The sequence below is a fragment of the Homo sapiens genome, chromosome 22 (assembly GCF_000001405.40).
Source record: "Homo sapiens chromosome 22, GRCh38.p14 Primary Assembly".
Taxonomy (NCBI): domain Eukaryota; kingdom Metazoa; phylum Chordata; class Mammalia; order Primates; family Hominidae; genus Homo; species Homo sapiens.
Genome location: NC_000022.11, coordinates 22045214 through 22060400, shown reverse-complemented (window position 1 = coordinate 22060400; position 15187 = coordinate 22045214). Strand labels below are relative to the sequence as shown.

General features: G+C 40.3%; 1 pseudogene and 1 further gene, besides 2 other annotated features; both read right to left on the bottom strand.

Annotated features, from left to right (window-relative positions):
• Positions 1-15187, bottom strand: part of IGL (immunoglobulin lambda locus) — an 896838-nt gene that overhangs the window by 862513 nt on the left and 19138 nt on the right.
• IGLVIV-66-1 (immunoglobulin lambda variable (IV)-66-1 (pseudogene)) lies at positions 1596-1922 on the bottom strand (annotated as a pseudogene). Its single transcript is given in 1 exon segment — positions 1596-1922. A coding segment is annotated over 1 exon segment (327 nt).
• Positions 1877-2640: an enhancer, noted in NCBI's record as "H3K27ac-H3K4me1 hESC enhancer chr22:22412174-22412936 (GRCh37/hg19 assembly coordinates)". NCBI's record gives its function as "activates a minimal SCP1, AML or CMV promoter by ChIP-STARR-seq in primed H9 embryonic stem cells {active_cell/tissue: H9 hESC(primed)}" and the evidence as "EXISTENCE:reporter gene assay evidence [ECO:0000049][PMID:30033119]".
• Positions 2641-3404: an enhancer, noted in NCBI's record as "NANOG-H3K27ac-H3K4me1 hESC enhancer chr22:22411410-22412173 (GRCh37/hg19 assembly coordinates)". NCBI's record gives its function as "activates a minimal SCP1, AML or CMV promoter by ChIP-STARR-seq in primed H9 embryonic stem cells {active_cell/tissue: H9 hESC(primed)}" and the evidence as "EXISTENCE:reporter gene assay evidence [ECO:0000049][PMID:30033119]".

The window sequence follows — 15187 nt, the reverse complement described above, 5'->3', positions numbered from 1 at the left end:
ACGCATGGGGCACATGAGTATATGTGTTCATAAAAAGCACACTGAAATTTACAATTAAGATCTGCAAATTTCACTTTACATATTATGCTTCAAGATAAGTTTTAAAAATAAAAAAGAGAAAAAATACCATTTTTTCAGATCAAAAAAATAGAATTTGCCACAAGATCTACTCTAAATGAAATTCTGAAGCTCTTTTTTAGTAAAATCTCAGTAAGCAGCCACCAAAATTTTCAAGAAATAAGTGTTAAAGAAAGTGGGGAAATGTGGAAAAACCCAAAGGAAAATTGAGTCTGTAAAACTATGATTATAATAACATCAGTTGATGTATAAATGCATATATGTATAACATAAAGCATATGTGTGAACTTATGAACATGTATTAATAGATTTGTGTGCACATGTGTAAATATATGACATAACTATGTTTTGACATTATATACATTTGTAGAGATTAAATGGAATTGAAGGGTTTACACTCAGACTCTACTCTCTGAAGTTTTATTTTAAACACTGAGCACCCCTAGTCTCTTCATATTTCCCAATCAGGGGGACAGCCTCCAGGGGATATTCCAGTTTGCATTTAGTCTCCAGAGAATCCCTTTCTTGTGATGATATATAGGAGTAACGCCCCACCCAAATCCCCTGAGCAGGACAATGTATGATAAAAGCTTCAGATCAAAGGGCAAGGCTGCTGCAGTCAGAGGGTTAGCGTCCTGCAGGGATCTCAAAAGGGCATCCAGCATAGTGAATATGAACAAAGGGATCACTTCTATTCTTTAACCAGAGTTCCCCAGCACACTTGAGGGTCCAGGGCATCTGTGATATGCAATATAATCCCATTATCACATGGTCTGTGACAATCCCAACCAAGCAATCTGACCACCATCACAAGGGGTTGCCTCCCCTCCCCAGATCAGCTCAGCTGTTTCATGCTCCAAAATATTCATATTCAGGAGGAAGAACTTTCCTCACTGGGCACCACCTGCAAAGGAAACAGAACAATGTCCTGTGGCATTGGCACTAATCAGGCTTTATTGGGGGCATTTTCAGGAATGGACTCAGCAAGGGTCGCAGCCCTTGTACCTCTCATCAGCCTCATAAGAAGCAGAGCTGGCCTGGGCTAGGGAAGCTGGGTGGATTTGGGGCTAAAGTTCAGGATAAGTACTTTGCAAAATGCTTTACCTTTTAACACATTGAGTGGGTGACAGGCCATAAATGGAGATGTAATGAGAGGAGAGTCAGAAGCTGCTCAGGGGAGGTGCAAGGCCAAGACTGAAATCAGTGCTTGTGGCACCTGGAGAATTCCAGAGAAGTTGAGATCTCTGGGGAGGAGCCAAGAGTAGTCCAAGCTAACTAACATAAGGAAACCCTGAGTTAGACTTTGGAGTCACCCACAGACTGTCTTGTTTGACTCTCACTATTAATGGAGGCCAGTAGAAAGGTCCCACCCTGTACTGAAGAATGAAAAATACAAACAACAAAGCTGCTACTGATGAGCCACACTCGGTCCCAGACAGTGTATTGTTGCCTGCACAAGGCAGAGAGAATGCAGGGGAGGTTCTAATCTCACTTCCCCGTAAGTCTGGAGCACAGTGAAAGTGCCACTGTTGCTGTGATATGTAAAATAGTAATAGTCGGACTTGATCTCAGGCTGCTCAGAAATGTGCAGAATCCCTGCACATTGCCCGAGGGATCTTTGGATTCACAGAAGTGACTGGGGACCCCAGAGTCCTGGTGCTTACTTGAGTCTGAGTAGTATCTCAGGAGATACTGGGGAAGGCTCCGTGACTTCTGCTGGTACAAGAATATGTGACAGCCTCCAACAATGCAGCCACTACTTGGGGTACAGGGAAGTCTTATAGCATTTCTCAGATGTGCAGAGAGGGAGGGCAGCTGAATAAGCAAAGGCTGAGAGAGGGAACCTGCAAGCAAAGATGATCGTGGGTGAGGAATCAGGACAAAGGGTGAGAGTGAAACACAGGGCAAGAACTCAGGCTAGGGGGCTTCCCCAGGACGTGAGACCTGTCCCTACCTGAGAAATGATAGAATATCACAGGAGAATAGGTGCCCAGGTCACAGTGGACACAGCCCTCCTGAGGTCCAGAGCTGGAATGGCTTCTCCAGGCCTCTCTTATCCCCTTCAGTGGCCTCACAAAGGAGGGGTTATGGATGCAAGTGTGTTGCTCCCACTGCCTACCCCCAACTCTCCCGATGGATTTATCAGTATCTGGGAGCTGTTGTCGGGGTGTCTGGCACACAGGACTTGGAAGAAGGTGGGGGTGCTGGGACCATATCTAGCTGCTAAATCTGTGTCAGTGAGTGCAGACTCCATCTACCCAGCCCTGGGGAGTTTGGGGGGGGTGGCAAGTTTTGGGTTTTCACTGTGCAGACACTGAGTGTGACTCACAGTGCCCTGTGCTGCTCACTGGCCAGACAGCAGTCTTTCTGTGAAAATCACATGAGTGGAGTCACCTGAGAGCCTGGTCATTGCTAATCCACAGCATCCATAGACCACACCTTTGCCCTGTCTGGAGATAACTCATATTAATAAACAGCCTTTCCACTGAGGATTTCTGAATTACTAGAAAAGCAAAAATATCAGGTCCATCCAACATGAGGAGGCTGCAGTGATGGCAGAATGCAGAAGGCTCGGAATACACAGGGAAGGTCTCTTCCAAGATGGCCAAACAGGAACAGCTCTGGTCTGCAGCTCCCAGTGAGATCGACGCAGAAGACAGGTGATTTCTGCATTTCCAACTGAGGTACCTGGTTCATCTCATTGGGACTAGTTGGACAGTGGGTGCAACCCAAAGAGCTGAAGCATGGTGGGGTGTCACCTCACCCGGGAAGCACAAGGGGTCGGGGGATTCCCCTTTCCTAGCCAAGGGAAGCCTGACAGACTGTACTGGGAGAAATGGTACACTCCTGACCAAATACTGCGCTTTTCCCACAGTCTTAGCAACCGGCAGACCAGGAGATACCCTCCCGTTGCCTGGCTCAGCAGGTCCCAGGCCCACAGAGCCTTGCTCACTACTAGTGCAGCAGTCTGAGATCAACCTGTGACACTGCAGCTTGATGGGGGGAGGGGCACCTGCCATTGCTGAGGCTTGAGTAGCTCACAGTGTAAACAAAGAGGCAGGGAAGCATGAACTGGGCAGAGCCCACCACAGCTCAGCAAGGCCTACTGCCTCTGTAGATTCCACCTCTGGGGGAGGGCATAGTAGAACAAAAGGCAGCAGACAGCTTCTGCAGACTTAAACGTCCCTGTCTGACAGCTCTGAAGAGAGCAGTGGTTCTCTCAACATGGTGTTCGAGCTCTGAGAATGGACAGACTGCCTCCTCAAGCGGGTCTCTGACACCCATGCAACCTGACTGGGAAACACCTCCCAGTAGGGGCCGACAGACGTCTCAAACAGGCGGTGCCCCTCTGGGACGAAGCTTCCAGAGGAAGTATCAGGTAGCAATATTTACTGATCTGCAGCCTATGCTGGTGATACCCAGGCAATCAGGGTCTGGAGTGGACCTCCAGCAAACTCCAACAGACCTGCAGCCGAGGGGTCTGACTGTTAGAAGGAAAACTAACAAACGGAAAGGAATGGCATCAACATCAACAGAAAGGACATCTACACCAAAACCCCATCTGTAGGTCACCAACATCAAAGACCAAAGGTAGATAAAACCATAAAGATGGGGAGAAACCAGAGCAGACAAGCTGAAAATTCCAAAAAACAGAGTGCCTCTTCTCCTCCAAAGGACCACAGCTCCTCGCCAGCAAGGGAACAAAACTGGACAGAGAATGAGTTTGACGAGTTGACAGAAGTAGGCTTCAGAAGGTCGGTAATAACGAACTTCTCTGAGCTAAAGGAGCATGTTCTAACCCATCGCAAGGAAGCTAAAAACCTTGAAAAAGGTTAGACGAATGGCTAACTAGAACAAACAGTGTAGAGAAGACCTTAAATGACCTGATGGAGCTGAAAACCATGGCATGAGAACTTCGTGACGCATGCACAAGCTTCAATAGCCGATTCAATCAAGTGGAAGAAACGATATCAGTGATTGAAGATCAAATTAATGAAATAAACAAAGAAGACAAGATTAGAGAAAAAAGAGTGAAAAGAAATGAACAAAGCCTCCAAAAAATATGGGACTACGGGAAAAGACCAAATATATGTTTGATTGTTGTACCAGAGAGTGACGGGGAGAATGGAACCAAGTTAGAAAACACTCTTCAGGGCCAGGTGCGGTGGCTCATGCCTCCTAATCCCAGATCTTTGGAAGGCCGAGGTGGGCAGACCATGAGGTCAGGAGATCAAGACCCTCCTGGCTAACATGATGAAACCCTGTCTTTACCAAAAAATATGAAAAATTAGCCGGGAATGGTGGTGGGTGCCTGTAGTCCCAGCTACTCGGGAGGCTGAGGCAGGAGAATGGTGGGAACCCAGGAGGCAGAGTTTGCAGTGAGCCAAGATCGCACCACTGCACTCCAACCTGGGTGACAGTGGGAGACTCTGTCTCAAAAAAAACCAAAAAAAAAAAACCCTCTTCAGGATATTATCCAGGAGAACTTACTCAACCTAGCAAGGCAGGCCAACATTCATATTCAGGAAATACAGAGAGCACCACAAAGATACTCCCCAAGAAGAGCAATCCCAAGACACATAATTGTCAGATTCACCAAGGTTGAAATCAAGGAAAAAATGTTAAAAGCACCCAGAGAGAAAGGTCAGGTTACCTACAAATGGAAGCCCATCAGACTAACAGTGGATCTCTCAGCAGAAACCATACAAGCCAGAAGAGAGTGGGGGCCAATATTCAATATTCTTAAAGAAAAGAATTTTCAAACCAGAATCTCATATCCAGCCAAACTAAGCTTAATAAGTGAAGGAGAAATAAAATATTTTACAGACAAGCAAATGCTGAGAGATTTTGTTACCACTAGGCCTGCCTTACAAGAGCTCCTGAAGGAAGTACTAAACATGGAAAGGAACAACAGGTTCCAGCCACTGCAAAAACATGCCAAATGGTAAAGATCATTGAAGCTATGAAGAAACTGCATCATTAACAGGCAAAATAACCAGCTAACATCATAATGACAGGATGAAATTCAAACCCAACAATATTAACCTTAAATGTAAATGGGCCAAATGCCCCAATTAAAAGACACAGACTGGCAAATTGGATAAAGAGTCAAGACCCATCAGTGTGCTGTATCCAGGAGACCCATCTCATGTGCAAAGACACACATAGGCTCAAAATAAAGGGATGGAGGAAGATCTACCAAGCAAATGGAAAGCAAAAAAAAAGCAGGGGTTGCAATCCTAGTCTTTGATAAAACAGACTTTAAACCAACAAAGATCAAAAGAGACAAAGAAAGCCACTACATAATAGTAAAGGGATCAATTCAACAAGAAGAGCTAACTATCCTAAATATATATGCACCCAATACAGGAGCACCCAGATTCATAAAGCAAGTCCTTAGAGACCTACAAAGAGACTTAGACTCCCACACAATAATAATGGAAGGCTTTAACATCCTACTGTCAATGTTAGACAGATCAATGAGACAGAAGGTTAACAAGGATATCCAGGACTTGAGCTCAGCTCTGGACCATGCAGACCTAATAGACACCTACAGAACTCTACACCCCAAATCAACAGAATATGCATTCTTCTCAGCACCACATCGCACTTATTCTAAAATTGACCACATAATTGGTAGTAAAACACTCCTCAGCAAATGTAAAAGAAAAGAAATCACAAAAAACTGTCTCTCGGACCACAGTGCAATCAAACTAGAACTCAGGATTAAGAAACTCACTCAAAACCACTCAACTAATGGAAACTGAAAAACCTGCTCCTGAATGACTACTGGGTACATAACGAAATGAAGGCAGAAATAAAGACGTTATTTGAAACCAATGAGAACAAAGACACAACGTACTAGAATCTCTGGGACACGTTTAAAGCAGTGTGTAGAGGGAAATTTATAGCACTAAATGCCAACAAGAGAAAGCAGGAAAGATCTCAAATCGACACCCTAACATCACAATTAAAAGAATTAGAGAAGCAAGAGCAAACACATTCAAAAGCTAGTAGAAGGCAAGACATAACTAAGATCAGAGCAGAACTGAAGGAGATAGAGACACAAAAAACCCTTCAAAAAATCAATGAATCCAGGAGCTGGTTTTTTGAAAAGATCAACAAAATTGATAAACCGCTAGCAACACTAATAAAGAAGAAAAGAGAGAAGAATCAAATAGACACAACAAAAAATGATAAAGGAGATATCACCACCCATCCCACAGAAATACAAACTGCCATCAGAATACTATAAGAACCTCTACACAAGAAAACTAGAAAATCTAGAAGAAATGGATAAATTCCTGTACACATACACCCTCCCAAGACTAAACCAGGAAGAGGCTGAATCTCTTAATAGACCAATAACAGGTTCTGAAATTGAGGCAATAATTGATAGCCTACCAACCAAAAAAAGTCCAGGACCAGACAGACTCACAGCCGAATTCTACCAGAGGTACAAAGAGGAGCTGGTACCATTCCTTCTAAAACTATTTCAATCAATAGAAAAAGAGGGAATCCTCCCTAACTCATTTTAGGAGGCTAGCATCATCTTGATACCAAAGCCTGGTAGAGACACAACAAAAAAAGAGAATTTTAGGCCAATATCCCTGATGAACATTGATGCGAAAATCCTCAATAAAATACTGGCAAACCAAATCCAACAGCACATCAAAAAGGTTATCCACCACGATCAAGTCAGCTTCATCCCTAGGATGCAAGGCTGGTTCAACATATGCAAATCAATAAATGTAATCCATCACATAAACAGAACCAGCGACAAAAACCACATGATTACCTCAATAGATGCAGAAAAGGCCTTCGACAAAATTCAACAGCCCTTCATGCTAAAAACTCTCAATAAACTAGGTATTGATGGAATATATCTCAAAATAATAAGAGCTATTTATGACAAACCCACAGCCAATATCATACTGAATGGGCAAAAACTGGAAGCATTCTGTTTGAAAACCAGCACAAGACAAGGATGCCCTCTCCTATTCAACACAGTGTTGGAAGTTCTGGCTAGAGCAATCAGGCAAGAGAAAGAAATAAAGGGTATTCAACTGGGAAAAGACGAAGTCAAATTGTCTCCGTTTGCAGATGACAAGATTGTATATTTGGAAAACCCCATCATCTCAGCCCAAAATCTCCATAAGCTAATTAGCAACTTCAGTAAGGTCACAGGATACAAAATCAATGTGCAAAAATCACAAGCATTCCTATACACCAATAGTAGACTAACAGAGAGCCAAATCATGAGTGAACTCCCACTCACAATTAATACAAAGAGAATAAAATACCTAGGAATCCAACTTACAAGGAATGTGAAGGACCTCTTCAAGGAGAACTACAAACCACTGCTCGATGAAATAAAAGGGGACACAAACAAATGGAAGAACATTCCATGCTCATAGATAAGAATAACCAATATCATGAAAATGGCCATACTGCCCAAGGTAATTTATAGATTCAATGCTATCCCCATCAAGCTACCACTGACTTTCTTCACAGAATTGGAAAAAACTACTTTAAAGTTCATATGGAACCTAAAAAGAGCCTGCATAGCCAAGACAATCCTAAGCAAAAAGAACAAAGCTGGAGGCATCATGCTACCTGACTTCAAACTATACTACAAGTCTACAGTAACCAAAACAGCATGGTACTGGTACCAAAACATATATATAGACGAATGGAACAGAACAGAGGCCTCAGAAATAACACCACGCATCTACAATCATCTGATTTTTGACAAACCTGACTAAAAAAAGCAATGAGGAAAGGATTCCCCCTTTAATAAATGGTGCTGGGAAAACTGGCTAGCCATATGTAGAAAGCTGAAACTGGATGTCTTCCTTACACAGTATACAAAAATTAACTCAAGATGGATTAAAGACTTGAATGAAGACCTAACACCATGGCCGGGCACGGTGGCTCACGCCTGTAATCCCAGCACTTTGGGAGGCCGAGGCGGGCAGATCACAAGGTCAGGAGATCGAGACCATCCTGGGTAACACGGTGAAACCACGTCTCTATTTAAAAATACAAAAAAAAATTAGCCGGGCGCAGTGGCAGGTGCCTGTAGTCCCAGCTACTTGGGAGGCTGAGGCAAGAGAATGCAGGAACCCGGGAGGCGGAGCTTGCAGTGAGCCGAGATCACGCCACTGTACTCCAGCCTGGGCTACAGAGCGAGACTCTGTCTCAAAGAAAAAAAAAAAAAAAAGACCTAACACCATAAAAAACCCTAGAAGAAAACCTAGGCAATACCATTCAGGACATTGGCATGGGCAAAGACTTCATGACTAAAATACCAAAAGCAATGGCAACAAAAGCCAAAATTGACAAGTGGGATCTAATTAAACTAAAGAGCTTCTGCACAGCAAAAGAAGCTATTATCAGAGTGAACAGGCAACCTACAGAATGGGAGAAAATCTTTGCAATCTACCCACCTGACAAAGGGCTAATATCCAGAATCTACAAAGAACTTAAACAAATTTACAAGAAAAAGCAAACAACCCCATTGAAAAGTGGGTAAAAGATATGAACAAACACTTCTCAAAATAAGACATTTATGCAGCCAACAGACATGAAAAAATGCTCATCATCACTGGTCATCAGATAAATACAAATCAAAACCACAATGAGATACCATTTCACACCAGTTAGAATGTTGATCATTAAAAAGTTAGGAAACAACAGATGCTGGAGAGGATGTGGAGAAATAGGAACGCTTTTACACTGTTGGTGGGACTGTAAACTAGTTCAACCATTGTGGAAGACAGTGTGGTGATTCCTCAAGGATCTAGAACTAGAAATACCATTTGACTCAGCCATCCCATTACTGGGTATGTACCCAAAGGATTATGAATCATGCTACTATAAAGACACATGCACGTGTGTGTTTATTATGGCACTATTCACAATAGCAAAGACTTGGAACCAACCCAAATGTCCATCACTGATAGACTGGATTAAGAAAATGTGGCATATATGCACCATGGAATACTATGCAGCCATAAAAAAGGATGAGTTCATGTCCTTTGTAGTGACATGGATGAAGCTGGAAGCCATCATTCTAAGCAAACTGTCACAAGGACAGAAAACCAAACACCGCATGTTCTCACTCATAAGTGGGAGTTGAACAAGGAGAACACATGGACACAGGGCAGGGAACATCACACACCAGGGCTTGTTTGGGGGTGGGGGGCTGGGGGAGAGATAGCATTAGGAGAAATACCTAATATAAATGAGGAATTGATGGGTGCAGCAAACCAACATAGCACATGTATACCTATGTAACAAACCTGCACGTTGTGCACATGTACCCTAAAACTTAAAGTATAATAATTTAAAAAAAGGTTAAAGAAAAGAGTTATTGTCCCAGTGAAGTAAAAAAATTACATTTTTTTGAAAGGTATGACAATAAAAGTCTGTAAATTATGTGTGAAAATATTAACAAAATTTGAACTTTTGAAGTGTAATTTTGAGAAGTTTTAAAGAGAAATAGATGTTAAAATTAAAAATCAATGTTTAACTCTTTTATTTAGAGTAAATTAATATTAAGAAAACTGTGTTTGGACATAGAAAATCAAAATATTCAGTTTTGTATTTGTGTATTTTCAATATTAAAGTTTAATATTTAGGAAGACATAATTTTTAAAATTATAGTCCTGTTAATTATACTTAATTTTATTAAATAATTCCCAAATGTATTTTACTATAATTTACATAGAGTAAGATATGTTGGGACATAATTCCCAAATGTATTTTATTATAATTTACATAGACTAAGACTTGTTGGGACATTTTGATTTGTCTTCTTAAAATAGTAAATCATCTTATTTTAGGACAAAAATTATATAAGATTGTTCAATATAAAATTATGTTCTAATGTTTTTTACAAAAAGATATCTATATTTATAATATTTTATATCTCTCTAATTTATTTTATATTGCTTTATAAGTAACCATTATATAACATCTTAACTTGGCAAAATTATTTTAATAAAGCATATATTTTATGACTTTGCTTTTTTAACTTAAAAACATATATTTAGTATTTTTATTTTTGTCTTATTTTATATATTGAATTATATATTAATTAGAATTTTTAATTATTTTAACAATAATTTTTACTCAAAACCTAGGATGTAAGAAACTTTGAATTGTCTCTCATAAATTCATCTTTTATACATGAGAACTATTTTAATATTTTTATAACTATATCCAAAATATATATTTTTAATTTTAAATGACCTACACTTTTTTAAGAGTACCTATTATTTAATTTATTTTTTAAGATTTTAAATTATACAAAAAGTTTAGATAGAAGTGTTTACTTCATTTATATTCATCTAATTTAGTTACTTAAAAATTTATTTAGATTATATGTGAAAACTGAGACACAAGAAAATTATTTTTATTTCTCTAAATCATTTTTTCTTAGTAATATTAGTAGTTGGTATATGCAGTTGTTTACCTAAGTAAGATCCTTAAAGTGAAAAATATGCAAAATTTATCTATAACTTAGAAGACACAGCTATTTTATTAAACTAGCAATATTAAATTAATTTTATTTATTGAAAAACTGTATAAAGAATATTTTGTTTTTGGCTGGGTTTGTGGTTTACAACTTTCGTGCCAAATCCTTACACCTTAGTCTACTTAGCAGAGACAAATATAAAATCATCTGTCCAGTAAACCCAGGGGGAAATGTGTGTTAATAATTTTGAATTTTTTGTTTGATTAATAATTAATATTTAGATAAGTGTTGCACAGCACATCTTTATAACATATTCTTGCATAACTAAAACTTTACACCTGTTGACCAGCAACTCCCCATTTCCTCCTCCCCTCAGCTCCTGGCAGCCACCATTCTGCTCTGTGTCTCTGGAATTTGTATATTTGAGCACATTATGACTTCAGACTGAAAATTCAGCAAGACTCAATACCACGTTAAATATAAAATTGCCATAAAGCAGAAAGAGTGGTCTTAGACACTCTCATTACTTGCAGCTTCTTGGGAAATTTTTTGAGATGATGCTCTTCTCTAGGGCTCTGGAGCCTTTGAAGAATGGAAGAGGAGCTCACTGAGACAAATAGGTAGTACAAGAAGGAGGTAACAAGGCTCAGGGCAGAAAAGAGCACAGCAGTTCCCAGGAGGGCAGGAACTGGGAGGGGGCATTACAGATGAGGAGAGGGGTGGTATGGGGGAGCCCCAGCAGGACATGGGACATAATGAGGGCGAGGGAAATCACAAGGCTGAGAATGAATTTGAAATATATTTAGGAAACACAATATATAGGATGAGTAAGTTAAGTAATAAGAAAAAAATATATACCAATATGAACAATGTGTTAAGAAAGCGGACACCAGGGGGATTGATGAATATACTTTCCTGCCCTGGAGTACTCAGGAAAAAAACGGCATACCTTTTTTTGGATAGCAAAATGTTTAATTCAAATATTTTACATTTATCTTTAAGAATTTGTGTTTGAGAATAATTAGCTCTTGCCATTCTACTACTCTGTATGTATGTGGGTTATCATTCTTGTGTCTTTCTTCTGCTTGAATAAATAAAAAGCAAGAACAAAAACCAATTATGCTTAAAATCATCACTTAAAGTAAATAAGTTGTAAAAATTCCACAAATGGCACAGGAGTGAACCTATGCTTCTAATCAGTTGTCTAACTTGTATATCCACAGCTCAGGAGAATTATTTTGTCAATTCTGTGTGTTTTAATGTTTATTATGGTGACAGCTTAATTAAATATTTGCCAATGAATAAAATGAAACATCATGCAATCTCCGTAGTCTACTAAATGTTCACAGTATTGCATCAAATCAAATTATGTATATATATTTATATTAATATATTATATGTAATATAGATTAATTATTGTATATTATATACTTATATAATATGTAAGTGTTATATATTATATACTTATATAATATGTAAGTGTTATATATTATATATTTATTATATATTAATATTAGTATATGATATAATGTAATTAATATATATTATATATATTTATAGATAGATGTTAATTTTGTCATTGTGGCTCCCCACATTCACTTATAATTTCCATAGCACTCAGTACTGGCTAGGCTTGGATGCAGTGAGAAATTGACAGAAATCTTGGTGACTCACAACGAATGTATATTTCTCACTCCTCCACCATTCCCATCTCTGATTGAAATGCTTGGGGCTTCAGTTCACTTCACCTTCATCCCAGGATGCAGGATGGTTGAGAGAATTCTGTGAGAACACTGTGGGTGTTACGTCAGAGATGATAGAACTTGACAAAGCACAGGCTAATCTTACATCTACTGCTCAGAAATTACACCTCTCATTTCTGTTCATCTTATTGGCCAATACTAGTTACATTATCACTCCTCCGTTCTGTAGGAAGAAGGGGCCGAGGTAATACTCCCACAGAGAATAGTGTTCCAGACTGTGAAGAGAACTTGAGTGTTACTATATCCCCATTACAGGTAATGAAGAAACTGGCCTAAGGAAGTGTTAAATAGATTGTCACAGACTGTGCTCTGCAGTAGAACTTTATGCCATGGTGGAGATGCCCTGTGTCTGAACTCTCCAGCATGAGAGCCATGGATGGAGAGCATGAGTCCAGGAGGCAGGTGAAATGAAGCTGGTGTGGCTGAGGAATATTTTTTAAAGTTTATTTAGTTTTAATTAATTAACTTTGAAATATACATATCAACATGCAGTTCATGGGGACTGTACTGGGTGGAGCAAGCCCAAAAACACAAATGGCAGCTGGTAAAATTTGCATCCAGCGCTAGGGCTAAAAAAAGGACTTCACTGACTGCTCAGTTCTGAGGCTGCTCTTGTCTACTGTCGTCTACCCATTCTAAAATGTAAACTCCACACATACGAGGCCTTGTCATAATTTTGTACACCATGCTTGAAAAGCAACCCCTAAGAGGATAAGTAGAGAAGAATGTGTTATGTTTTAGGTGTTTTACCTAAAAATTTGAATTAGCAATTATGCACACAGTTTGGTCAAATGTTTCACTCCACACTCTGGTCAGCAAGAGATGCTGTACATTGGGTAGCAGGTTTTCTGAACTAATGGTGTTCAGAGGATTATTCATCTGTCAACATAACCTTTGGAGTTGTATCCCACACATTTGTTTAAGAGGAAATTTGGAACTATCGAGATATAATGCATGTAGCCTTATATTCAGTGGAATGGGATAAGGAGGGTTCAACACAAAAGGCTGCCCAATACGTGAAACCATGTCCTTTTAATCCAGTGGTTCTCAGACAAGGGTGATTCTGCAGTGCTGTCTCCCTAGGATATTTTGCAATGTCTACATTTTTTGCTTGTTTGTTAGAATTTGGGAATTAGGGTGCTATAGGCATCTGATGTGTGAGTCCCAATAATCTTATAAATGTCCAACCATGAACAGAACAGCCCCCCTCACACAATGAATGACCCAGTGCACAATGTTAAAATGACAATGTTCAGAAGCCATGTTTTAAACTAAATATTCTTCATAAAGTAATTTCACAGGGACCAGAAAAACCATCCATGAAGACAAGAAAGAAAAAGTTGTGTATTTTGGAAAGAAAATAGAGAGACACATAAACAGAAAATTTGAATTCAAACATTCAAACAGGGGACAGGAAAAAGCAACCCATGCTGGTGGGGAGAGGCTGATGGCAGACTCAGGGTGAGGGCGCTCTGGGGAGTTTTCCTGTCACTGCCCAATGGGCCTGCAGCACTGTGAGATTGTAGCTTTCATCATGAGACTGACAGGAGAAGTCAGCCTCATCTCCAATCCGCAGCCCAGAGACGGTCAGGGAGGCAGAGTTGGGGGAGCTGTCCATGGAGCCAGAGAACTGATCAGAACTAGGTAAGTGACATGAATATTTGACATAAGACATGAGAATGGAAAGTAAACAGGAGAGTTGAATTTAAAAGCGTTTTGGAGAGAGAATCCACATGGCTGGTGACCAGTTGGATCACTGGGTAGGGTAGAGAAAAGAGTCCAAATAAATTGGAGGTTTCTCATTTTGTGGACCAGTTGTGCAGGCTGCTCTTAACTTTGGTAGGAGATTTTAAATAGAACCTAATTATGACACATTGGTAAGAGTTTATTTTCCTATTTCAGAAAGGCAAGCACCAGGCAATGAAGCAGGTGCGGCTATGACAGTGAAGCTTTGCCACCTATTATCACAGACACACAGTCACACACGGTGGACTCTGTCCATGTGATGAGTTGTCAGACTGAAATGCAGTGAGGGATCCCCGGCTACCTATGGGGGCCACAGAAGAGACATAAAAACCTTTTTAAGTGAGAAAGTCCTCATTAAATTATTGAAGGTTTTATGCAATTCTTTGTGCAATATATATTTATAAAGAACATACTAACATCAGCTTGGTGCCAAATAACAATGTCATCTGAAGAGCCGGGAGGGAACCCCACACTCTGGTGTGCTCACTTCAGTGGTTCTGTTAGGGATGAGGATGGTGAGCCTGCTTTTAGCTTTCCTGTTTCCCAGGGTTTTCCCCTGGGAGATGGCGTCAACACCACCTGCTACTACTAACACAAGTAGTCAGCCAGCAGGCTCCTCTCTGCTGGCTACTTCACACTTTCCCCTCTAGCCTCTGGCACCTCTTTCCACATATTCCTTCTATTGTCCCTGATTTATCTTGTCAATGACATCAGAAGATAACTCAACAAGCTTTTCTACCCACTCTGAGCTTTTCGAGTGTTGAAGGTGAGGGGCCACAATTTAATCAACTCTAGGTATTCACATTTCCTTTGTTTTATTTTATTTTATTTTATTTTAGGCTGAGCCTCACTCTGTCACCCAGGCCAAAGTGCAATAGTGTGATCTTGGCTCACTGCAACCTCCGCCTCCTGGGTTCAAGTGATTCTCCTCCCTTAGCCTCCTGAGTAGCTGGGACTACAAGCATGCACCACCACACCTGGCTAATTTTTGTATATTTAGTAGAGATGGGGTTTCTCCATGTTGGCCAGGCTGGTGTCGAGCTCCTGACCTCAGGTGATCCGCCCACCTCGGCCTCCCAAAGTGCTGGGATTACAGGGTTGAGCCACCATGCCCGGC